Below are 27765 nucleotides of genomic sequence, written 5' to 3'. Positions count from 1 at the left end.
ACTGCTAGGAACACATCTATGCACACAAACTAGAAAACCTAGAGGAGGTGAATGAATTCCTGGACACATACAATTTCCCAAGACTGAACCAGAAAGAAACTGATTCCCTGAACAGACCAGTAATGAGCTCTGAAATTGAATCAGTAATAAATAGCCTACCCCCCCCAAACCAAAAAAATAAAATAAAATAATAAATAGCCTACCAACCAAGAAAACCCCAGGATCTGATGGATTTGCAGCTGAATTCTACCAGATGTACAAAGAAGACCTGGTGCCATTCCTACTGAAACCATTCCAAAAAATTGAGGAGGAGGGACTACTCCCCAACTCATTCTATGAGGCCAGCCTCATCCTGATACCAAAACCTGGCAGAGACACAAAAAAAGAAAACCTCAGGCCAATATCTTCAATGAATATCAATGCAAAAATCTTCAACAAAATACTTGCAAACCGAATCCAGTAGCACATTAAAAAGTTAATTCATTATGTTCAGGTAGGTGTCATCCCTGGGAAGCAAGGTTGGTTCAACATACAAATGTGATTCATCACCTAAACAGAACTAAAGACAAAAACCACATGATTATCTTAATAGACACAGAAAAAGCCTTTCAATAAAATTCAACACTACTTTATGTTAAAAACTCTCAATAAACTGGGTATTGAAGAAACATACCTCAAAATAATAACAGCTATCTATGACAAACCCACAGGCAATATTATACTGAATTGGCAAAAGCTAGAAGAATTCCTCTTGAAAACCAAAATAAATAAATATATACATACAAAACATAAGACAAGGATACCCTTTCTCAGCACTCCTATTCAACATAGTATTGTAAGACCTAGTCAGAGCAATCAGGCAAGAGAATGAAATAAAGGGCATTCAAATAGGAAGACAGGAAATCAAACTATCTCTGCAGATAACATGATTCTACATCTAGAAAGTCCCATAATCTCAGCCCAAAATCTCCTTCAGTTGATAAAGAACTTCAGCAAGGTTTCAGGTTACAAAATCAATGTACAAAAATCACTAACATTCCTATACATTAACAACAGCCAAGCCAAGAGCCAAATAAAAAAGGCAACCTCATTCACAATTGCCACAAGAAAAGAATAAAATACCTAGAAATACAGCTAACCAGAGAGGTGAAAGATCTCTACAATGAGAATTACAAAACACTGCTCAAAGAAATCAGAGAAGACACAAACAAATGAAAAAACATCCCATGCTAATAGATAGAAAAAAATCAATATGATTAAATGGCCACACCGCCCAAAGCAATTTACAGATTCACTGCTATTCCTGTCAAACTAGTTCTTCACAGAACTAGAAAAATCTATTTTAAAATTCATATGGAACCCAAAAAGAGCCTGAATAGCCAAGGCAATCCTAAGCAAAAAGAACAAAGCTGGAGGCATCACATTACCCAACCTCAAACTATACTCTGGGGTTACAGTAAACAAAACAGCATGGTACTGATACAAAAACAGGCACATAGACCAATGAAACAGAGTACAGAGGCCAGAAATAAGGCCACACATGTATGATCTTTGACAAACCTGACAGAACAAGTGATAAGGAAAAGACTCTCTATTCAATAAATGGTGCTCCAATAACTGGCTAGCAATATGGAGAAGATTGAAGCTGGACCCTTTCCTTACACCATATACAACAATCAAGTCAAGATACATTAAAAACTTAAATGTTAAAACCCAAAACTATAAAAACCCTGGACGACAACCTAGGCAATGCCATCCTGGATGTTGAACAGGCAAAGATTTCATGACAAAGACACCAAAAGCAATCGCAACAAAAGCAAAAATTGACAAGTAGAATCTAATTAACCTAAGGAGCTTCTGCACAGCAAAAGAAACTATCAACAGAGTAAACAGACAACCTACAGAATGGGAGAAAAGATTTGCAAGCTATGCATCTGACAAAGGTCTAATATTCAGCATCTATATGGAATTTAAACAAATTTACAAGAAAAAAACCAATCAACCCCATTAAAAAGTGGGCAAAGGACATAAACAGACACTTCTCAAAAGAAGACATAGCTGGGCGTGGTGGCTCACACCTGTAATCCCAGCACTTTGGGAGGCTGAGGTGGGTGGATAACCTGAGGTCAGGAGTTTGAGACCAGCTTGACCAACATGGTGAAACCCTATCTCTACTAGAAATACAAAATTAGCTGGGTGTGGTGGCTCTTGCCTGTAATCCCAGCTACTCAGGAGACTGAGGCAAGAGAATCGCTTGAATCTGGGAGGCAGAGTTTGCACTGAGCCAAAATTGCGCCATTGCACTCCAGCCTGGGCAAGAAGAGGGAAACTCTGTCTCAAAAAACAAACAAACAAACAAAGACAGACCAACAATCATATGGAAAAATGCTCAACATCACTGATTATTAGAGAAATGCAAATAAAAACTATAATGAGATAGCATCTCACACCAGTCAGAATGGTTATTATTAAAAAGTCAAAAAATAACAAATGCTGGCAAGGTTGCAGAGAAAAAGGAGCACTTTTACACTGTCGGTGGGAGTGTAAATTAATTCAACTATTGTGGAAAGCAGTATGGTGATTCCTCAATAGAACTAAAAGCAGAACTACCATTTGACCCAGCAATCTTATTACTAGGTATATACTCAGAGGAATATAAATCATTTTACCATAAAACACATGCATGTGAATGTTCATTGCAGCACTATTTACAATAGCAAAGACATGGAATCAACCTAGATGTCCATCAATGACAGATTGGATAAAGAAAATGTGGTATATATACACCATGGAATACTATGCAGCCATTAAAAACAATAAGATCATATCTTGTGGAAACATGGATGAAATTGGAGGCTATTATTCTTAGCAAACTAATACAGGAATAGAAAGTCAAATACCACGTGTCCTCACTTATAAGTGGGAGCTAAATAATAAGAACTTGTGAACACAAAGAAAGAAATGACATACACTGGTATCTACTTAAGGGCGGAGGGTGGATGGTGGGAGGAGAGAGAGAAGTGGAAAAGATATATATTGGGTTCTGGCCTTAATACCTGGATTATGAAAATAATCTGTACAACAGACCCCCGTGACATGAGTTAAACTATGTAATAAACCTTCACATATACCCCCGAACCTAAAATAAAAGTTAAAATAAATAAATACATACATACAAAACATTTTTTAAAAACAGAGAAAAAAAATTTGCCATGATTTTTAGTACTATTAGTACAAAATATGTAGTATTTTAAAACTATACTTCATAAAAAAGGCATTTAGTTTTTAAAGCAAATAAAAATTGTCTTTGCACTGTTTCTTGCAGAGATCATCACAGAGTCCCGAGGAGACATGGTGAATTCTGTCTTTATATTTCTTCCCCAGAATATTACAGATATCCATATATAAAAATCTGAAATATAATTAGTTGGTTATAGGAACTAAAATCTCTATAAGGCCATTTTTTGTTGTTGTAGTTTGTTTATCTGTAATGCTAGGGCCACATCTCCAGTAGCTGTGGTTCCAGTGTACTGGGATAACCCAGGACTGACTCACAGAATCTTAGCAGGTTTTATCTATGTTATGGCATCCCCAGTACTACAACAATCAGGTGATGGCAACTGCTTATGAACATGGGGAGATGGAGATCTAGGTGGGTATGCGAAACTCCTTCTCCTCATTGAGCACTTCACAGTCCACTTCCAGGGTGAGAGCCTTCATGACTAGGAGGGGAACCGTCACCACTTCTACATCACCTCTGATTTGGATGGGCTTGTCCTGTGCAGTCTGTTCCTGTCTTCTCTGTTCGAACTATTCACCACTTAAGACATTTAGCTCAATGTCTTAGCACCAGCAGGCTTTCATAGGTCTTCCCCTGTGTCTCACATCATTTGACCAGTGGAATCACTGAGAATCCTCCACAGCCTCAAGGAACAGGGTCAGTCATTCTAAAACAGAAGGGATACAGGCTATCATCAGGAAATCTAGGTGAGAAGGAAAGAGGACTCTAAACATTCTGGACAACAGTAAGAAGAAATAGTAACCGTATTGCTCAGGGTTCTCCAGAGAAACAGAACCATTAGGACTCCTAGACATATCAGAGGGGATTTAAGATGGGAATTTTCTCAAGTGGTTATGGAGGCCAAGTCCCACAGTATACCTTCTGTGAGCTGGGGCACCAGGAGAGCCAGAGGTGTGATTCAGTCCGAGTCTGAAGGCCTGAGAAGCCGGAGAGCCAATGGTGTCACTCTCAGTCTGAGGCAAAAGGCCTGAGGAAATGGGGGGCCATTGGGCATAAGTCCCAGAGCCTGAAGGCCTTCAAACCTGGAGCTCTCATGTGCGAGGGAAGGAGAAGATGGGTGTCTCAGCTGCAGAAGCGAAAGTTAATCTGCTTCTTTGTTCTATCCAGGGTCTCAGCCCATTAGGTGGTGCCCACCCACATGGCTGAGGGTGGGTTTTTACTAAGTCCACTGATTCAGATGCTAATCTCTTCCAGAAACTTCCTCACAGGCACACTCAGAAATGGTGTTTTACCAACTATCTGTGTATCCCTTAACCCAGCCAAGATGACACATAAAACTGTCACACTCACTGAGCAGAAATACATTTTTTAAAAATTCTTGCCTCAGGTCATTTAAGTGAATAGTCCAAGATAGTTTCTTTGACTTTTCTTTTTAAAAGGAAAAATTACTCTTACAATAAAACTCACCTCTTCAACATGTCTACTTCTGTGATTTTTAGTGTATTCATAAAGTTGTGCAATAATTACCACTAATTTCAGAACATTTTCATTATTCTCAAAATAAACACACCCACTAGTAGCCCCTGCACATTCCCTTTTTCTCTCAGCCGCTGGCAACCAGGGGTCTTCTTTCTGTTTCTATGGATTTGCCTATTCTGGACATTCCTATAAATAGAATCATACAATATGTGGTCTCCTGTTTCTGGTTTCATTCACTTAGCATAATGTTTTCAAAGTTCATTTGTGTTGTAGCATGAATCAGTACCTCATTCATTTTTTATGGCTGAACTATATTTATATGACATCATATGGATGTGCTACACTTTATATTACATTATATGGATGTGCCATGTTTTGTTTTTCCATTCATCAGTTGATAAACATTTTGCCTTGCTTGGTAATTTCCACTTTTGGATGTTATTTAAAAGGCTGCTGCTTGAAGACTCACGTACGAGTGTTTGTATGGACATATATTTTCAATTCTCTTGGGTATACACCTAGGAAAGAAGTTGTTAGACAATATGATAACTCTATATTTAACCACACGAGCAACTGCCAGACGGTTTTCCAAAGTGGTGCACTATTTACATTGCCACATCTTCACCAACATTTTTATTGCCTGTCTTTTTTATTATAGCCATCCTAGTGGGTGTGAGGTAGTATTTCATCACTGTTTTGATTTACATTTTTATACCATTGATTTATACATCTATTCTGTGCCAGTTCCAGTGTCTTGACTACTATGGCTTTGTAGTTAGTTTTGAAAATGGGAAATGTGAGTCCTTCAATTTTGTTCTTCTTTTTCAAGATTATTTTGGCAATTCATGGTTCTTCACATTTCCATGTGAATTCTAGGAGCATCTTGTTAATTTTTGCAAAAAAAAAAATCCAGTGAAATTTTGATATAGATTCAGTTGAATCTGTAAATAAATTTGGGGAGTACTGCATTTTAACAATATTAACTCTTCCAACCCATATATGCAGATGCATTTTCACTTATTAAGATATTTCTTAATGTATTTTAATGATGTCTAGTGGTTTTCAAGATAAAAATTGGACTTCTTTTGTTAAATTAATCCTTAAGTATTTCATTATTTTGGATGCCAGTATAAATGAAATTGTTTGAATGTCATTTTCAGATTGCTCATCATTAGTATATAGAAATACAGTTAATTTTTGTATACTTATCTTTTATGCTACAATCTTGCTAAATTTTTTTAATAGCTCTAATGGTTTTTTTGTGGGTTCGTGGGATTTTCTAAATGCAAAATAAAGTCATCTAAAACTAGAGGTAGTTTCACCTCTTTTACCACCTGGATGCATTATTTTTCTTTTTCCTGCCTAATTACCCTGGCTAGAACTTCCAGTAATGCTGAAAAGAAGTAGTACAAGTAGACATTCTTGGTTGTCCTGATCTTACGGCAGCACTTTCAGTCTTTTCACTAATAAGCATTATGTTAGCTGTGCGTTTTTCACTGATGCCCCTTATCAAGTTGAAGAAGTTCCCTGCAATTCTAGCTGAATATTTTTCTCATGAAGGATGTTGGATTTTGTTAAATGTGTTTTTCTTATCTATTGGGTTGATTGTGTGGGTATCGTTCTTTATTCTGACAATATGATGTGTTATACTGATTAAGTGACTCAACTTTACTTATCTTCCTGGGTAAATCTCAATTGGTCATGTTGTATTATTATTTTTATACAAAGTTGTTCAGTTTGTTAGGTTTTTTTTTTCTTTTTGCTGTTTTTTGAGGATTTTTGTGTTTATGTTCATTAGGGATATTGGCCTGCAGTTTTCTTTTCTGGTGCTGTATTTGTCTCCTTTTGCTATCAGGATAAATAAGATGGAAAAAGTTTCCTCCTTTTCTATTTTTAGGAAGAGTTTGTGAAGAATTGATGTTAATTCCTCTTTACAGAAGTTTATTTAAATCATAAAAAATATAAATAGACTTATAACAAGTAGAGATTGAACTGATCATTTAAAACTTCCTACAAAAAAAGCCAAAGACTAGATAGCTTCACTGGTGAACTCTACCAAATGTTTAGTTTGTATCTTTCTAGGTATTTCTGTTTTTATGTAGGGTATCTAATTCGTTGGCATACAATTGTTTATAGTATTCCCTTAGGCTATCCTTTTGGTTTCTGTAAGGTCGGTAGTGATATTCCATCTTTCATTTACAATTTTTATAATTTGAGTCTTCTCTCTTTTTTGCTTGGTCTATATTTAGAAAACCCCATCGTCTCAGCCCAAAATCTCCTTAAGCTGATAAGCAACTTCAGCAAAGTCTCAGGATACAAAATCAATGTGCAAAAATCACAAGCATTCTTATACACCAGTAACAGATAAACAGAGAGCCAAATCACGAGTGAATTCCCATTCACAACTGCTTCAAAGAGAATAAAATACCCAGGAATCCAACTTACGAGGAATGTGAAGGACCTCTTCAAGGAGAACTACAAACCACTTCTCAAGGCAATAAGACAGGGCACAAACAAATGGAAGAACATTCCATGCTCATGGATAGGAAGAATCAATATCATAAAAATGGCCATACCTTGCCATACTGCCCAAGGTAATTTATAGATGCCATCCCCATCAAGCTACCAATGACTTTCTTCACAGGATTGGAAAAAACTACTTTAAAGTTCATATGGAACCAAAAAACAGCCCACATTGCCAAGACAATCCTAAGCCAAAAGAACAAAGCTGGAGGCATCATGCTACCTGACTTCAAAGTATACTACAAGGCTACAGTAACCAAAACGGCATGGTACTGGTACCAAAACAGAAATATAGACCAATGGAGCATAACAGAGCCCTCGGAAATAATACCACACATCTACAACCATCTGATCTTTGACAAGCCTGAGAAAAACAAGAAATGGGGAAAGGATTCCCTATTTAATAAATGGTGCTGGGAAAACTGGCTAGTCATATGTGGAAAGCTGAAACTGAATCCCTTCCTTACACCTTATACAAAAATTAATTCCAGATGGATTAAAGACTTAAATGTTAGACTTAAAACCATAAGAACCCTAGAAGAAAACCTAGGCGATACCATTCAGGACATAGGCATGGGCAAGGACTCCATGACTAAAACACCAAAAGCAATGGCAACAAAAGCCAAAATTGGCAAATGGGATCTAATTAAACTAAAGAGCTTCTGCACAGCAAAAGAAATTACCATCAGAGTGAACAGGCAACCTACAGAATGGGAGAATATTTTTACAATCTACCCATCTGACAAAGGGCTAATATCCAGAATCTACAAAGAACTTAAACAAATTTACAAGAAAAAATCAAATGACCCCATCAAAAAGTGGGCAAAGGATATGAACAGACACTTCCCAAAAGAAGACATTTATACAGCCAACAGACACATGAAAAAATGCTCATCATCACTGGCCATCAGAGAAATGCAAATCAAAACCACAGTGAGATACCATCTCACGCCAGTTAGAATAGCGATCATTAAAAAGTCAGGAAACAACAGGTGCTGGAGAGGATGTGGAGAAATAGGAACTCTTTTACACTGTTGGTGGGACTGTAAACTACTTCAACCATTGTGGAAGACAGTGTAACAATTCCTTAAGGATCTAGAACTAGAAATACCATTTGACCCAGCCATCCCATTACTGGGTATATACCCAAAGGATTATAAATCATGCTGCTATAAAGACACATGCACATGTATGTTTATTGCGGCACTATACACAATAGCAAAGACTTGGAACCAACCCACAGGTCCATCAGTGATAGACTGGATTAAGAAAATGTGGCACATATACACCATGGAATACTATGCAGCCATTAAAAAGGATGAGTTCATGTCCTTTGTAGGGACAAGATGAAGCTGGAGACCATCATTCTGAGCAAACTCTGGCAAGGATGGAAAACCAAATACTGCATGTTCTCACTCATAGGTGGGAATTGAACAATGAGAACACTTGGACACAGGGTGGGGAACATCACACACTGGGGCCTGTCATGGGGTGGGGGGAGAGGGGAGGGATAGCATTAGGAGATATACCTAATGTAAATGATGAGTTAACAGGTACAGGACACCAACATGGCACATGTGTATGTATGTAACAAACCTGCACGTTGTGCACATGTACCCTAGAACTTAAAGTATAATAATTTAAAAAAAAAGAATGTTGAATATTGGCCCCCACTCTCTTCTGGCTTGTAGGGTTTCTGCCCAGGCATCTGCTGTTAGTCTGATGGGCTTCCCTTTGTGGGTAACCCGACCTTGCTCTCTGGCTGCCCTTAACATTTTTTCCTTCATTTCAGCCTTCGAGAATCTGACAATTATGTGTCTTGGGGTTGCTCCTCTCGAGGAGTATCTTTGTAGTGTTCTCTGTATTTCCTGAATTTGAATGTTGGCCTGTCTTGCTAGGCCCTAACTCTTTTATTTTCTCTTATGTCGTTTGCAGCCAGGGACACAGGAACACCGCATCGTGCAGCTGCTCCCTCCTGCTATTTTCCCCACAAAGCCCATTCCCCTTTGGTTCCAGTTTTGCGGTTGCCTCTCCTCAGCCTCTGCACCTCCAGGTTCTTGCCTGTGCTCTTTGCTGGATTTCAGCAAGCCAAGGCAGGAAGTACTTCCAGATGGTGGATCTCTGCAATCCTGCTGGTCTTCAGCTGCTCCTGCAGTTTTTAACTTTATTTGACTGTCTCTTCCTCATGCATCTTGGTTGTTTTTCAAGGGTGAAGGCTTTCAAGCTGGAGTCTGCAGAGCTGAGGATGTGGAGCATGTGGGAACGAAGGGTTCTGGGAAAGGCCATAGGGTGAAGCTCCAAGCCCCAGCCACTCTGATCAGATCCACTCAGCTTTTATCTGTTTTGTTTAAGTCCTCCATGTAAGACTTCCTTTTAACAAAGTTTGCCCTGATACAAAAAACAAAAACAAAAACAAAACAGTTGAAAATTACTTCCCTCAAGAAAAACTCAATTGTTGCCACAGATAAGAATAATAGAATACAGAGCCCGATAAAATGAACACAGAATCCACCATTAAACAATCCCTATTTCATATGACCAATTTAAAAACTGCTGGGGTTGCCCATGGTAGCTCATGCCTGTAATCTGAGCACTTTGGGAGGCTGAGGTTGGGGGCAAGGGCTCACTTGAGGCAAGGTGTTCGAGAACAGCCTGGGCAACATAGCAAGGCCCTGTCTTTATAAAAAATTAGATTAAATTTAAAAAATTTGTTGGGTTCTCTAGAACTTTACACACGAAAGTTATCTGTTTATTTTTCAGAGGAGGAAACTAAAGCCCAGGAAAGAAGGTATACAAGGTAAAATAAGGGTGTAGCTGGAGCTAGGAGATAAATCGACCATGTGTTGGCAGGGGTGGATCTTTGCCAGTATCTTGGGCACCTAGCACCTTTCTCAGTCATGGTGGTCCTTGGCGCAGGAATGCATTATCCTCCCTCCTGCAGGCCTGAAGCCCTTCCACCTTAGCTCACCATGAGCATGCTCTGCTCTCTCTTACTCCCCACTTCCCAGGTGCTCTGTGTTTGGCTTCCTGTGGGTTTAGAAGATGGCAGCAAATCCTCTTGCAAGTACTTGATTTAGTCAGCAATGCCTCCCTACCCTCCCTATTTCAGAGTATCTTAGTTTAAATCTTTAAGATCAAGTGTTTTTTGGCTCAGCCTCACCTACAGATCAGCCATTCTGCAACTCTCCTAGTCAATTATTAATCTCAGGTTCAGTAAGTTGTAGCCATGTGGGTTGGGTTACCTAGTACAGTCATGACCACCCAGGCCTGCCCCTTCACTGGATTGTGAAAAATATTCAAAGCCTGGCAAGTAAGCCAAAATGGAGATGCCAAAGCACATCTATCAGAGAAGTCATTCTTTGGCGTGGTCTTAGAGATCAACAAATGTAAGGTCCAGAGTTATATAAATCTATTGAGGAACAACTGGTACAGTTGGACTGTCTGTTGATCCTACTGCATTAGCAGGGTTCTCAAAAGAAACAGAATCAATAGGACTCTTCTCCTTATGATAAGATGTAAATAAATGAAGGCAGTCTGCTGGAGGGTTCCCTCTTACTCAGGGAAGCTAGTCTTTTTGTTCTGTTCAGGCTTTCTACTGATTGGATGAGGACCACCCACATCATGGAGGGTGATCTGCTTACTCAGAGCTCACCAATTTAAAGGTTAATGTCATCCAAAACACCCTCCAGGTTGATGCGTCCAATTAACCATCACACCTACTTTCTGAGATCACATCCACAGCAGCTCAGGTACTGCAGAATGAAAGGGATTCTACGGTCTTCCTCAGTGACTCATTTGAATCCACTTCTTATTCAGCCCAAATCATGCTTGCTTTTCCTTACCTAAATGTTATGAACTGTCACATTTATAGTACTGTCATGGAGATAAAAGCCACCGACTGACATTAAAAACAAAAATGAAATTTAAGGTACTGCCTTAACTCAGAAAAAAATCTTTATAGGATCTCCTTGATGAAAAGCCCCCTAGGGTTTCTGCCAATTAAATAATGAGTATCATATTTTGCCCTGTGGATAAGTGATTGCTTCAGAATGATTCAGTACATTGTGCAGGGTTGGAAATTCCTTGATTACTCACTAACTTTGACATAAAGAAGTTCAATAATAAACAGACTTCCAACCAATCTGACCACATGGTAAGATTCCTCACTGAGAAATGCCTCATCCTGCTCTCTCTCCTCTTCCCTTTGGAAAACCAGAACAACCTGTTCATCATCAGTGATATCTCAGCTATAAAAATGAAATAATACCACAAGATCTAATCCGTAGAAATGTGGTAGAAACAAACTGATTCATGATCAATAAATCTCTTAAAGTATTTGGTTCTATTATACAAGTCTAAGTGTTACTATTATCCTTGTGAAGATTTTATGAGCTACATAGTTGGGGGCTTCATTGCCTAGAGGAAGGAAAACAAATTGTCACTGAGAATGCAACTTTGTATATACAGCAGCCAGAAAGGCAAGAGTTCTACTACTGTTAGGAGGTAAATGCCATGTACTGTAAGCCTGGAGAGAATGTACCCATTCTTAATATCATAAGCAGAGACAAGTATTTACCATATATACTTTTTAGTGATATTTGGTCACATTGGCCCTTCCGTCCCTGCAGGTAGCCTGAGGATTATTTTCTTTTTTGACATGTAAATAATCTATTTGTCCCTGTTCTTTAAAAGAACACAGCTTTCATAAAAAATGATGAGTTCATGTCCTTTGTAGGGACATGGATGAAACTGGAAACCATCATTCTCAGCAAACTATCGCAAGGACAAAAAACCAAACACCGCATGTTCTCATTCATAGGTGGGAATTGAACAATGAGAACACATGGACACAGGAAGGGGAACATCACACACCGGGGACTGTTGTGGGGTGGGGGGAGGGGGGAGGGATAGCACTGGGAGATATACCTAATGCTAAATGATGAGTTAATGGGTGCAGCACACCAACATGGCACATGTATACATATGTAACAAACCTGCACGTTGTGCACATGTACCCTAAAACTTAAAGTATAATAACAATAAAATTAAAAAAAAAAAACAAAACACAGCTTTCAGATACCACTTTTGTCTAGAAGTCCTGAAATGCGTTTTATCTGTCCCATAATGCTGGAGGACTTCTGTATATTTTAAATTATACCAAGGAGAATACAGTGTGGAATTCATTTTTGATACTATGTCTTATCCAATGGTTAATACACTACTGATATAGTGCCACTACTATCACATTGTGTTAAGCAGTGTAGAGGGGATTTTTTTTTTTTTACAAATAAAATCTGCTAAAAGTTATTCTTTTGTACAGGGCAGCAATGTGGCTTCCATTTAAGCAGAAACACGTGATGAAAGTCCATAGTTCACAATGTCTGAAGCATCGCAGAGCAAGAGGGACATAAACGGGGGTTACCTATGGACACCATCATTTTATACCTTTGCTTTTGACAGTCCGTTTAAGTTAGACCCTAACTTTAGTGTTTCCTAATATTGCCTCAAGAATTGTTTTTATATCATCATGTTTATATAATGTATGATGAGAAAGTATCTTAGGAAATAAATTGCATGCAGGTTGAAAAAAAAACCTACTTTGAAGAAGTTAGAATCACATTGAGCCTCGTGGATCTCTCATTCTCTATTCCTTTAGGTTATTCCATTCTGCAATATTAGCTGAGCTATGTTTTGGAAGTTTGGACATGTTGTCTTATCTGCATTGACAGGTTACCAGGTATATTGATAGTAGGCATTCTTTCTCCCCAATTCCAATTATTCTATAGTTATTAAATATAAAGGAATCAGCATTTGGTTCAGTTCAGCAATAGTAGTTGAATTTATATAATGTGAACTTATGCAAGATGTCCACTAAAGTAAATAAAGTTGGCCCTCATCCTCAGGGAATTTCCAGGCTGATGTCAGAGAAAGATCCATTATTAATATTCAGCACATGAACTGGTGACAGATATAAGCACTGGAACCCGAGTGCAGAGGAATGACCTAAACCAGCATAGGTTAAAATTATAAATAACCTAAACAACCATTTGATTCTGAGATTTTGTGTTTTACATGTCAATTGAATCCGTCACAACCAAATTTTTTTTAAAAGGGGGATGGGGAGAGGAAAAAAAGTTAAAAAAAATTTAAAACTGGAAAACTTTTGCCTCCAGACTCACCTTCCTCTAATCCTTTCTCCATTTTCTCTCTGAGATGTAAATCTGATATTTATTTCCCTGATTTAAGCCCTTCCAGGTCTTCCAGAGCCTTGCTGAGAAGGTCTAACTTCCCCCTACTGCCATCCTCCCATTCCCTGGTCCCACCAACTTTCCAGCCTCATGTCCTGTTTTCTCCTCTATTGTCCCAATGCTCTAGCTATCATCAGACTCTACACATTTGCTAATCCCCTCCTCCTGGTATGTTCCTCCACTCTTGGTGCTATCCTAACTATCTTTCAAGACCCAGTTGAAGATTTTCCCCTTGGTGAAGCCTTTCTGTACCTCTCATGTGGAGTCAATTCCAACCTTCTTTGTGCTATCACTGTGGTTTATTTGTACCTTCTTTATGGTAGCAATGCATGCAGTAGCTTGCAGTCATTTGCTTATCTAACCATCTCCATACCTAGCCTCTGAGCACCTTGACAGCAAAAAAAATATCTTATTTATTTTTATCTGCCTGGCATATAGAAAAGAGTAAAAATAAAACTTATGATGAATAAACAAATGAATTACTCTTCTTTGCCTTGTTATAGCAATTAATTGGGTATCTTGCAATTATTTATTTACGTAATCCACTTTGACACCAGTGGGCCGAGGGAGGTCCTGAGACACCTCTGGGACCTCAACTCCAGCTGGTGTCCAGGCTCTTGACACCATCATGAGAATGAATTCAAGGTCAGAAAATATGAAAATATGGAGACTTATTGCAAAGGGAAAAGTACTCTCAAGAAAAGGGAGTGTGGGTATAGTCAAGAGAGCCATGTAATGGGGACTGGGGTTTCTATCTTCATGGGTTTCTTTAGCCAAGGGTGGAATAGTCATGAAGATTCCTGGGAAAAGGTGGAGATTTCTCAGAACTGTGGTGTCACCCATTTTTATACCAAATATGGATTTCCCCAGAACTGTCGTGGTATTGGTGGGTGTGTGATTCAGTATGTTTATTAGTATATAATGAGGTCCTAGGTGAAACCTAGGTAAAATTCAGTGCCATGTTGGTCTTAGCCAGCTTAGTCTGTACCCTGTTTTTCAGGGTCTTATCAGCTCCTAGCTTCTATAGTTATTTCGACAGTTTCCTTTTGCTAGTCATGTGGAACTGCTGCCTGGAGTTTTCTGTTCTCCTGCAACCATCCTGTGTTATTCCTGTCTCATCTCCACATCTAGCCTGAGTATCTTGAGGGAAGAGACTTTGCCTTAAATGTTTTTATCTGCCTAGCACATAAACTGAAAGAATAAGCAAAGAGATGAGTTAATCCGAGAAGTTATCTTTCAAAAATATTTTATATCAGAAATGACCATCAAATTTCCTAACAACAAGACTCTTTCTACAATTACATAAATACTTTCTATCTAAATACTGCACTACTCGAGAAAGGAATGACAAGAATGTCTCTTGGTAGACATTATCAACTGAGGTGAATTTTCAAGAATAATAATCATCCTGTCTTCTTTTCCCCCCTCACAGAATATTAGCAAATAATAATCTAGAAAGAGATGTGGTACCAGATACACTGGAAGTAACTAACAAATGATTTGAAGTGAGACTTTAGGGTACACAGACTCCTGCAAAATGACTTCTACTTGACCATGCCTTCATTTCAGCATAGTGTTGAGGAGAATCCCAGAGATCTGAATCCCAGGAGAAGTCAGCCCATCCTGCTGTTCGTGGGAATCTATAAAGGAGGTGCACAAAGCTCCAGTTGCCCCTGATTTGAGAGATGTCTCCAGAGCAGCACTTGTTCCTGGTAAGACCTCCCATTCCCTCATCAAGACTTAGACCAAAACATTTAAAAGTTGCTTCCCCATCTCCAAGGCTCCTAGATTCATGTCCTCCTTTGGCTCCTATCCAATGATGATTTCACCTCTAACAACTAGATGTCAACCTGCAAACACTCTAAGCACCAACTTCTTTCTTTCCAGTTGTTTTTAAATAGTACCCCTATTCCAATAATTTACTGCCCTCATCTAGACCTCTAAGCCATTTGCAACCCATCACATTCTTGTGTGCCCACTTCCGATGTTATCCAGCTTTGCGTCCATGGGCCATTAATACAATAGTTCCTTGCATGCACCCTCAATTCCTTAGACCATAGGCCAGCAAACTAAGGATCTCAGGACAAATCAGTTCACTGCCTGTTTTTATAAGTAATGTTTTATTGGGACCTGGCCACACCATTTGTTTATGTATTGTCTATGACTGCTTTTGCACTAAAATGGCAAATTGAGTAGTTGTGACAAACTGTATGGTTACAAAGTGAGCCTAAAATATTTACTGTCTGACCCTTTGCAGGAAAAGTTTGAGAGCCTGTGTCCAAGACGCTCTCCAACTTACTCACTTGGAAGGACTCCAGCTCTCCATTTATTCTTTACTGGCCCTGAGCAGTAGAGTAGGCTAAACAAAAACCCACACTTAAGCTGAAGATGCTCAACTTAAACACATGACCACTACTTTCAAGTAAGCCTTATTTCTCCCATTATCTCAGATTACTATTGCACATCTTCTCTTTCCTTAAAACTCCAATTACCCCTTTCCTCTTCTCATTCTTAGCTTATAAAATAATTATCAGAAAAAGAACTACCCTGTCAGCCACCACCACATCTAACAACCTGTTGACATCTCTGCCCATCTTCTCTGTGTTCCCTCTTATTTATTTATTTATTTATTTATTTATTTATTTATTTATTTATTTTTTCAGATGGAGTCTCACTCTGTCGCTGGAGTGCAGTGGCTCCATCTCGGCTCACTGCAACCTCCGCCTCCCGGGTTCATGCCACTCTCCTGCCTCAGCCTCCTGAGTAGCTGGGACTACAGGCACCCGCCACCATGCCTGGCTAATTTTTTGTATTTTTAGTAGAGACGGGGTTTCACTGTGTTAGCCAGGATGGTCTCGATCTCCTGACTTCGTGATCCGCCTGCCTCTTTTTACAATGCTTAACTAGGTCTACTCCTAGCTGAGGCCAACCACTTGACATGTGGGTTGAATTTTGTGTTAGTTGACAGGATCTCCAAAGAAAGAGAAACAATAGGATATATTCATAGAGGTAGATGTATGAGAGGGGAATAGATGTCTCAGGGAAATTGGCTTATGTGGTTATGGAGGCTGAGAAGTCCCACCATAGGTGACCTGCACACTGGAGAGCTAGGGAAGCCGATAGCATGTCTCAGTCCATGTATGAAGGTCTCAGAACCAGGAAAGTCAATGGTGTAAATTTCAGTCTAAAGCCACAGGCCTGAGAACTTGGGGTGCTGCCTGTGTAAGTCCTAGAGTCCCAAGGCCAGAGAACCTGGAGTTCTGATGTTGAAGGGCAGGAGAAGAAGGGTGCTCCAGCTCCAGCAGAAAAGAGAGAAAAATTTTTCCTCTGCTATCTAGGCTCTCACATTGGGTGTGGGTGAATTTTCCTTACTCAGTCCACTGATTCAAATGCCAGTCTCCTCTGTAAACATCCTCACAGATGAACACAAAAATAATGCTTTACCACCTTTCTGGGTATCCCTTAATCCAGTCAAGTTGGCACCTAAAATTAACCATCATGGACCTTGTCCACTTTCACCTCCTCAAGGATTTCGATCTTGTAATTATTCCCTTCCTTTTCTATTTCATTACTTTATCCTTCTCTCCTAGATCATGACCATTGATGAATGTGCTATAATAATTTCCATAAAAATTAAAATGCTCTTCCAAGAATCCCCATTCCCTTCAGCCACAGCCTGTTCTGTGTGGCCTTGTAACCATCCGTTTAGAAAGAGTTGTCTCTACAAATTCTTTACATGTTCTTGTCTTGAGTTCTCTCCTCAACCGGCTTTACCCATGCCTCCAGACTGAGAATGCAATTGGCAAGCTCACAAAGTCATTGTCATCAGCCTCTTGGGAGTGTACAACATAGGAAGCACTCTTTTTCTCTTGAAACACATTCGCCTTTTGGCTTTCAGAACACTGTAACCTCCAGTTGTTCTTTCTACCTCCTTGGGCACTGCAGTCTTCATTACTGGCTCCTCCTCTCCTCAATCATGCAATTGTAGGTCTCAGAGCTCAGTGCTCAGTCCTCAGACCTCTTATTTATATATGCTCACTTCTAGAGGGACTTGCCCCGTCCCCTGGATTTAATTATCATCTATATTCTGATGTTTACTGAGTTTATATTTCCAGCCCAAGCCAATTCTCAGAATTCTAAGTCTCATTTTCTAAGGCATCTGAAACCTAACAAGGCCCAGTCTTTCCTGTTTTCATAAATAGCAACTATTCTTTCACTTATAATCCTACAAATAGCCTTGTCCCCATTACTCACCTGTCTTGTAACAACTAGTCCATGAGCAAATCTTACTTTGAAATATGGCCAAGAGTGACATCTTGCCACCTCCAGCCTAAGTCTCCATCATCATCTCTTGCCTGGTCGTCTTAGCTTCTACTCTTGCCCCCGTCTCTCTCTTCCCCACCTCACATTCAACGCTTCTCATGGCAATCATAAGGATTTTATTTTAAATATAAATCAGCTTATGTCATTTCTATGTGGTATGTTTTCCAGTGGCTTTCCATCATGCTGAGAAGAGAATCCAAAGTCCTTTACATGATCAAGAACACCGTTCACCTTGGTGGCTCAGGCCTGCACTTTGGGAGACTGAGCAGGGAGGATGGCTTGAGGCCAGGAGTTTGAGACCAGTCTGGACAGCATAGTGAGTCCTCACCTCTGCAAAAAAAAAAAAAAAAAATGTTTTTTTAAATAGCTGGGTATGGTGGTGCACATCTATAGTCCCAGCTACTTAGGAGGCAGAGGCAAAGGACCACTTAAGCAAGGAGTTTGAGGCCACTGCACTCCAGCCTGGGTGACAGAACAAGACTCTGTCTCAAAAAAAAATAAAACAAAACAAAATGAAACAAAAATTCCCTTCATAATCTGGCTTTGGTCTTTCTGACTCCATCTTAAAATCAGACTCTCTTGCTGCAGCTTAGCCCCATCAGCATTTTTCCTGTTCCTTTGACATCAAGATTCTTCCCTGTCTCAGGCCTTTTATACTCACTGTTTTCTTAGCTTGAGATGCCCCTCCAGAGACCTGTGGTTATTACTTTGTTGTCGTCAGCAAATATCCTATGATCAAATGTCATCCCCTCAAAGAAATGTCTCCTGACTACCTCTTTCTCCTCCCAAGACATTCTCTATCTTACTACTCTGTTTTATTTTTTCTTTGCAGCATGTATCACAGTGACCATAGCATTATACATTTATTTTTAATTCTCTAGACTCTCCCCTAGAATGTAAACCCTATGAGGTTAATAACTGTCTAATTCACCCCTGTGTCCTGGAACCTAGAATAGCACTTAACACATAGCAGGCTTATAGTAACTACTTTTTAATGAATAAACAGAAGTGTTTATATTAAATTTCATGTCCTTATAATCATTATAAGGAGAATGAAATTGTTCAAACTTAAACAACAATAAGTGAAGAAATGATCCCACTCTTAAAAAGCCAAAATAATCCCATGCCTTGTGCTGTAAAGCTCAGAAACTTCAAATATTCTTCACTTATGATAGACATGTGACTACATTTAACCAAAAAAAGGCAAATCTATATTTTCAGTATTAATACAATAAAATGAGCCTTTAATAAATACTCATTTAGCTATAATAAAGAAAAAATGACACAGACAGGAAAAAACTAACCATCTGAAGAAAAGCACATGCTACGTATGCACATTCAAGAATTTACTCTCAAAATGCAGTTAAGTTCCCACATATGCATTTGACTATCTCATATTCCCATACTCTAGGCTTCCCTTTGCATTTTTTTCCTACATATATGTTTTTCATGATCACAGTTTTGATATATAAACAATATCACTACTTCTAGACTTACGGTGTCAGAGACAGCCAGCATAACCCCAATAGGAAATGAACTCCAGCTCTGATTTTATCCCAACAGGAAAGAAGATATGTTTATAATTTCCCAGTAGGAAATCAGATCTATTTCTCTGCTTAGCTTGACAAGATGATGGTGTGTCTTTTCCCTCTCCATTAACTTAATATCAAAATAATGGTAACTCAGAGTTAAATAAACAGGAATAGACTTCTAATGTCAATCAAAATATATGCTAATCTCACTTCTACTGTCAGTTGCATGGAGCTCAAATTCATTATTGAAAGTATTTATAATTTTCTTTCTTCTCTGTTGAAATCAAAAAGAAAAAAAAAGCCCCAAGTTTTATCCTATAATTTCATTTGAAAAATTATAACTTCTCCCCAATTATCCTCATCCAACTGACCTTCCTCCCATTTTTAGCTGGAAGGTGATGTATTGCTTCTATTTACCTGACAATGTGAGCATAAATCTATTTATGCAAAAACAATTTCTTAAATCAAATTTCCAGACTCAGAAACATTCAGTTTAGTCCACAGATGTAGCCTCAGATTAATTTTCCTCAGAGATACATTTTGTTGCTCTCTATGTTGAAAAAAAATGTTCTAGATGACTAATGATTCAGTGCTATTTTTCCCTTAGCAACATAAAATGAACTTCATAATAGAAAGAGCCTGATTTACTGACAACAGCTCTCTCTTAGTGAGGGGTATTGCCAAGTGCCTCCATATGTACTGTGTTTAAGATGCTCCTCCTAGGAGGCTTTTATCACAACACTGTGCAATGCAGTGTCTCTTCCTGGGAGAGTTCCAGGATAAAGGGAGAAACTGTGAATTGGTGCCCAAGGCTAGCCTGGACTCCTATTAGGACATCCACGGAGTATTCAGCTGAAAACTGTCTTCATCCTGGGTAGGTGGCCATAGGGTTTGGGGCATGGAACCAAAATTTTAAAATGGTGGGGAGGGGGCTTTGCTTAGATACTTGTATTGTACGTTGAACATTCATTCAGATCCCACAGGGAATGGGCAAAGAGTAAAGGAAGAGAAATGGTGTTAGTTATAAATCTTTAAAGAAATGTGTCTGTATTCGTCCATTCTCCCACTACTATAAAGAACTACCAGAGACTGGGTAATTTATACAGAAAAAAAGTTTAATTGACTGAAGTTCAACAGGCTGTACAGGAAGCATGACTGGGAGGCCTCAGGAAACTTACAATCATGGTGGAAGGCGAAGGAGAAGCAAACATGTCTTACCTGGAGGGAGCAGGAGGAAGAAGAGAGCAAAGGGGGAAGCGCTACACATTTTCAAACAACCAGATCTCTTGAGAACTCACTCACTATCATGAGAACAGCAATGGGGAAATCCGCCACCATGATCCAATGATCTCCCACCAGGTTCCTCCCCCAACATTCAGGATTACAATTCAACATGAGATTTGGGTGGGGACACAGAGACAACCCATATCAGTGGTATCTATCTATCTATCATCTATCTATCATCTATCTATCTATCTATCTACCTACCTACCTATCATCTAATATATCATCTATCTTTCTAGTTATCTATTAAAGTGATTATAAACTCACAGGATTCATATATTACTGAAATGAGTTTGGAGAATGCACTATCTAGAAAAAAAATTTCCGCTTGAGGCTTGCACTTCTTAAATTTGTAACTATGCAGTTAGTTAGATAATGGTTTTGTTGCTTAAAGTATAACACTTTTTAGGTTCAATAATGAAAATATTTTTTGGAAGAGCAGGTAGAGATTCAATTGTTCTCTATGTCTAAATTGTTATCCTATTTTTCCTGTGCTCTTGTACACCTTTGCTATATCCTCTGACTCAAAACCCTGTCAAAAATCTGTGGAGGGATAGGAGGAGCTTCAAAGTTTTCCCTGTCTGCTGTGACTGCTGCAGCCAGGAGCCACAGCAAAAGCTTCAGTTAAATGGTACAGTAAGATCTAGAATCTTATATTTGGATCTCTTCACATGGATAGCCTCTTGAAAGTGCCCACATAATAATAAGATGGCTTGGAAGAGCCATTAGAGTTACATCTTCCTATTAGATTCCATTGATCTAGGGTAGGTATGGAGCCTGCCAACTCCAGTAATGGCTATATTTAACGTCTTATATAAAATTGTATCTTTTTCTTAAATTATCCTAGATCAGAGATGAGTCATCACCTATACATCATTTTCCTTTTGATGTTCTGAATATATTGAAACCAATTTTAGGGTTTATTGATTAAAATGCATTTGTTATGCATTCAAGTCTCCTACATGCCTCTTAATACAGGTGGAAAGAAGAGAAAATTAAATCAACTGTTTTCAAGTGTTGCTAGGTTTTCCAGTCTGATAAAAGGTCTAAATGAAATCTATACTAACACATAAAATTGACAGACATAAAGAGCTACTGTAAACTTACAACCTAAATTAGTTAATTAGCATTTCTTTGGGATTCCTTGTGAAGGAATGCAGAAGATCTTGGCTTTGCTCTCCTGGGGCAATGATATTGGGGCTTCTGCTATTCAAATCTGGACCACATTCATTGGTTAAAAAAATTAAATAATAAGTTCATTTAGCTCTGGCATATTAATATAGCCAGGCAAAACGACTGTGGTTTGAAATAAATTAATTTGGATTTCCTAAGTAAGTTTTCTCTTTTAGTATGTTTTTATCAAGAAAAACAATCACCAAAGTGATAAGATGGTAAACACAAGTGCAAAAATAATACTCAGAATGTTTAAAGAGCCAAGTAAGTCTGCTGAGCAGACAATTAATTTAGGAAAAGCCAGTTCTCAGAAAATTGAAATTTCATTGCCTGCGATCCAGGAATATAGAATAAAATACATTTTCTAATCCGAAACAGCATTCATTCTGGGTTTTGTTGTCTGAATACATAATTACTAAAGTGAAATTTTCCCAGAGAAATACTGGTTTAAAAAATGCTTTTATTTAAGGAAATGATCAGGCAATTCCTCAACAGTCGTTTATTGGACTGAATACTAATGTGGTGCTTTCACTCTTGAGAGTTCATTTTTAAAAGGAAGTCCTATAGAAGCATTTAACAATCTGTCTGTTATAATATTATTATATTATTGTAAAATATACAGATGAAATGATAGATACTATCTATCTAAGTAAATGTTTAATAGCCATATTTGGGGTTTGGGGAGGGGCTGTCCTGATTTGTAGTGTTTGCCTATATCTTTGGTATAAATATACCCACCATGGCTGATTTCAAACTGCCAACCTGGCATCAGAGTATAGAACTGGAAAGAAGTGCAAGTACCCACAATCTTATAATAATTCTACCATATGAATACTACTATAGCAGAGAGTACAATAAAATGTAATAAAGCTATTAGAAAATGTTGAGTTCTAAATGTTTATACCTTTTTACATAATATAATAATGTAATGTAACATTGCATAATACTATATTATGTAATTTTTTTTTTTTGAGACAGAGCTTCACTCTTTTCATCCAGGCTGCAGTGCAATGGTGCGATCTTGGCGCACTGCAACCTCCACCTCCCAGGTTCAAGTGATTCTCCTGCCTCAGCCTCCGGAGTAGCTGGGATTACAGGCGCCTGCCACCACACCCAGCTAATTTTTTTGCATTTTCAGTAGAGACAGGGTTTCACCATGTTGGCCATGCTAGTCTCGAATCCTGACTTCAGGTGATTCACCCCCCTTGGCCTCCCAAAGCACTGGGATTACAGGCGTGAGCCACTGTGCTTGGCCATAATATGTAATTTTTAATAATGGCTATGTTTAGCAACAAGCTTGAAAATTCTGAAAATTTAACAATCGATTTTTGCAAACTGTTAAGATCCAGCTCAAGCATATTATGGTAAGATTTTATGACTAATTAGCATTATTCCTGAGGGAAAAAAATTCATTTTTAATGGATGAAAATTTAAAGGGCCTTCAGTTAGTGTCCACGGTTGTATCTAAATTAGGCTTTCTAGACATATATTCATTCAGCACCTCCTTCACAGTTATTAACATACTTTCTAACACATATCCTTGGCAACTAGAACACTACAAGGAAATGAGTGGCTCCTGTCAATAAGCACATCATTACTGACCCTTAATAGCTCATTATTACATCCCCTCCTCTGCAGGCCTTATCTTCGTATGGAAAGCATACCTAGTCACCGTGCTTTTCCCTCTGGCCTGTCACATCCATCTCACACCCACAGTGTTGCTTCAAGGGCCCAGGCCAGGGCTGCACCTACCTCCAGCCTAGTACTTGATATAAAAAAGAAAAATTTAACAATTTAAAGAGTTACTATACTTACCTATATATCTCTTCCTCTCCTCTATTTTTTTTTTGTGGCAAAATGATAACTACAAAACAGATTGCTAAAGAGTAAATGGGGTATTTAACCCTAGATTTCTCAAAGCCTCTTATCCATCTGTGGAAAGCTTCACAGAATACAGCCCAATGCAATGTGTCCCAAGTCACAATCTAATGAGTTATTTCACAGGGTGGCTGTGGCCATTCATCCTCTGTTCCTCTCCTTCCACATCCTCCCTTAACAATGTGGCAACAAAGTCAGTTACCACATGATGTGGGTGATTATAACCTTCCTTCCACCATCAATACTGGGTTTCCTGAGAGTGCTCCCATTTATGTTGTTGTCCTGGTGTAGTTATTAATAGTGCTCTGTTTCATCTCCAAGGGGTCCTAGTTTGGATGATGAATCATATTGTCACCCTTTTCCGGCACTTCTTGCTTCAACTCCAGACCGTCTTAGATATCTCATAAGACCTCCGAACTCAGTTCATACCAGTCTTAATCCACATTGTTCTTCAAAAGCCTCTATTTGCTGGATAGCTGTTTGTGTTATGGTATCTCCAATTTACCAAATTATTGAGGTCTTTCTTTTTAAACTTCCCTTACTCTTTCACGTAAAATGATTTGTCAATTTCTGTCCATTTTCTGTGGGTTTTTATCTCCAGCCAGGCCCAGTTGCTCTATTCCCATTCCCATTCCCACTGCCACGAACTCAGCATAGATTTTTCTCTTCTGTAATGCAGAAAATATCTCTTAACTACCCTGATTATCTTGCTTTTCCAATTCATTCTATATGGTCTCACTAGACTTAGAGAAAGAACCATACAAAGGCCTCACTGTGTGACCAGCATTTAGACTGCATCTGGTACATTGTACAAGCTCAACAAATATTTGTTGAATAACAGAATAAACATGTATTAGAGTAATCTTCCTAGAGCAGTCGCTCTTTATGCTAAAGACCTATTTAAAAATATGTTCTTTCAATAGACCCCCAAAGCAAAGTCCCTCTTACTCTGCATCCAAGAACCTCTGTGCTCTGGCACCCACCTCCATCCATCACATCACATCTGCCCACCTGGGTGCCTGTACCACCAGGTCCTGCCATGCCAAAATGCAGATCCTTCCTGATGTATGTCCAGTGTTTCTTGCCTTCACGCTCTTGGTCCTGCCATTGTCTTGACAAAAACCATCTTTTTCCTCCTTAACTTTTTCCACCCGATCTTCTAAGGGTATGATAAACAAATAAAGAGAGTGACTACTGCGGCAAGGAAAAAATCCTTTATAGCATTTAATGCCCGTGCAAATCACAGCGTTCACTCCTAAGGTTCGCTGAAAGCATGTTTTCTGTTGTTTCCATAGGTGATCAACTATGCCTCTGGGGGGAAAACAGTAGTTTTACAAATAATAAACTTCATCTTTCTAAAATAAAACTAGATTAAAAATATGATACCCATAGCAAGACTAAATCTCTACAGAAAATTAAAAAACTAGCCGGGCATGGTGGCACATGCCTGTAGTCCCAGCTACTTGGGAGGCTGAGGCAAGAGGATCACTTTACCCCAGGAGGTCGGGGCTGCAGTGAGCTGTGTTCACACCACTGCACTACAGCCTGGGTGACAGAGCAAGCTCTGTCTCAAAAAAACAAAACAAAACAAAACAAAACAAAAAATGATACCCAAAGAGATGATTTGTTGCTTCAGAATATCCCACTTGGGAGTAACTTTTAGTCTTAAGATTAATATAAACTACTCCACATGATGTATTTGATGTATCTTTATATGGTTCCATCACTATATTTTCTTCTCTAGTAGCTTTATAATAGACACTATAAAAGAAAAAGTCATCACCAAAACATAAAGTTAAATATTCAAAGATAAGCCTCATAATATTAGAAGATAAAACAAAATTCAAGAAACCCTTTCTGCCTGACTTCTGTTGAATCAAGAGCCTGGATAATAAAGAAATTGCACCAAACATGAATTATGTTTTAAACAAATGAATTACTAGCAAATATGGAATTGCTTTACTTGTATATTTAACTCACATCTTTCTACAGTTATTTAAGAAAAATTAAGTCAATTATTTTAGTTCCACTTATAATTACTTAGTAGGATTTGGGAGACAGATTTTATTCCCAATGATTTTTTTTTCTATGACTTCTTTTATAAAAACAGGAATTTTAATAATTCCAAGAGTAAATATAAATCTGAACTTTGAAGGGGTCAATTGTAGTTCAGGATTTGGAAGATAAAATGTTTAAATGAGCTTGGAGCTTAGCGTAACACATGTGCTTCTTCTATCCTTCTTTGCAATAATACCTCAGAGCAAATAAAACCAGCTGTGTAAATGAAAAATTCAAATTAGATACCAAGGAATCCAGTCACAAATCCATTATATTCCTTCTGTTCCTGAACACAAACAAACTGTCACTAAAACTTCATGAGTACCTAAAGTCAGTACCTAAAGGACAAAAATTTGTATGACCCGAAAGTTAATCATTCCCTAAAAGAGCATAAATATACCAGAAAACAAATGAGATGATTGATATTTAATACATAGATAGATAGGTAGATAGATAGATAGGTACATAGATAGATAGGTAGATAGATAGTTAGATAGGTACATAGATAGATAGATGATAGATGCATATGAATAGTGGGTTATGCATCCAATAACAGGCATATAAATTTTTAACCTGAGAAATATAGTAAAGTACCAAGAATAAAACACCCACACATACACACACACACACAGACACTCCATATATACCAATATGTGTATGCATAGTATATTAACAGTTCATTAAAAATTGGCCTGAGAATTCTAGTGATTGTTTACTAGCTAAGTTACAAGTTTTTTTCATTTATTCAAGCTAAATAATCTGGCTATAACAAAGACATAGTAATTTAAAATTAGTACTGCATTATAGAGTGCTATTTTCCTATGAAGCATACGATTTTTGAGAGATTAGTCTGTATACCTGTCATTGAGTAAGTTCATATACAAACTCACTCCCTATAAGTGGATGGCCTGTCTTGATAGAGGTGGGTTACATGGAAGTTGCCATTTGTCAAAATTGGCTCCAGTGTGGTCACAGTCCACTTTCAGCTCACACAAATACGTTGAACTATCCAGGAGGAGCCCCAGGTTTCTCCTCCCCTCCCCATATCCCTGAGGCCACAGATAGAGCTAGGGAAGGAACCCACTTATTTGCCTTCCTTCTGCTCTCTGGCCCCACTCTGGCAAGATCCTCCAGCACCATTTCCACAGCACAAGGAATTGCTCTTGGCCTGCTCTGGCTTGTGACAAGTCTCAGCCCATGCTGGGCAGACTGGGCCACTGTCACTTGACGTCCCATTGCCAAATGCTCAATCTCTCCTAGGGCCCAGGAGCACACAAAAGCTGCTCTTCAAACCGTTCTCTGCTGTAGGAGGCAGGGACTCTAGGCTCTGGGCTGAACTCTTGAATTGGGAACTGCCACACGATGCATCCTCTAGCACTATTGGGTGGCCTGGGCCATTCAGCCTGAGTGACAGGGCATAGACCACAGCAGAGGTCTCCCACTCAAAACAGGCAGATTTCTAAGTCATCTGCAGAATGGGTTGGAGCAGTAGTCCCAAGCGTGGTGCAATTTGTCTCCACATTCACATGGCAGGTATTAAGATATACCCTAACAGACAGACAAAATGAACTACCTGCACCCAAAATGAGACACACCAAAAATAAACCCGAATCTCATGGCTAGCAGGATGAAGGATTAGTCATATATCCTTCATTAATTGCTATAAGTTTTCTTTCCTGTAATTAAGCAGAAGCCAGGTCCTGAAAAGCATTGCCAAAACAACTACAGCTGGAAATTTTCCCGCCTGACCCTGATAAACCACCAGATGCCAGCAAGCCGACACAACCCCCTTTCCCCACCTTGCCATTCCTGCCACAACTTGGACTGGACAAAGGGCTGGTCTTAGAGACATTCTTTATTAATGAATAGCTGCAGATCTCAAGCCAGTTTCAGCCAGCTTATGGAGGCTGCACACAAACTGTCTTTGTGTTCTACAGTTCACCTTTTGTTGTAAAGAGTTGAATTCCACCTAATTTTAATGCTAAAACTCCGAAAGTGAACATAAAATATGTTACATATATGAATG

General features: G+C 38.7%; 1 long non-coding RNA gene across 1 annotated transcript in view, besides 1 other annotated feature; it reads left to right on the top strand.

Annotated features, from left to right (window-relative positions):
* The window catches only part of LOC107986945 (uncharacterized), a 52355-nt gene extending 36546 nt beyond the window's left edge, over positions 1-15809 (top strand). Inside the window, exons 3-4 of the long non-coding RNA XR_007060915.1 lie at positions 15061-15203; positions 15749-15809. This is a non-coding gene — a long non-coding RNA (uncharacterized LOC107986945). The remainder of the gene's footprint in view (positions 1-15060; positions 15204-15748) is intronic.
* Positions 10341-11540: an enhancer, noted in NCBI's record as "BRD4-independent group 4 enhancer chr8:59108481-59109680 (GRCh37/hg19 assembly coordinates)". NCBI's record gives its function as "activates an origin of replication core promoter dependent on BRD2, P300/CBP, MED14 and CDK7 cofactors, and independent of BRD4, by STARR-seq in HCT116 cells {active_cell/tissue: HCT116}" and the evidence as "EXISTENCE:reporter gene assay evidence [ECO:0000049][PMID:35650434]".
* Positions 15810-27765: the final 11956 nt, after the last annotated feature.

The sequence above is a fragment of the Homo sapiens genome, chromosome 8, assembly GCF_000001405.40.
Source record: "Homo sapiens chromosome 8, GRCh38.p14 Primary Assembly".
NCBI lineage: Eukaryota > Metazoa > Chordata > Mammalia > Primates > Hominidae > Homo > Homo sapiens.
The sequence above is the reverse complement of the archived record's forward strand: the minus strand, read 5'-3'. Positions and strand labels throughout refer to the sequence as shown.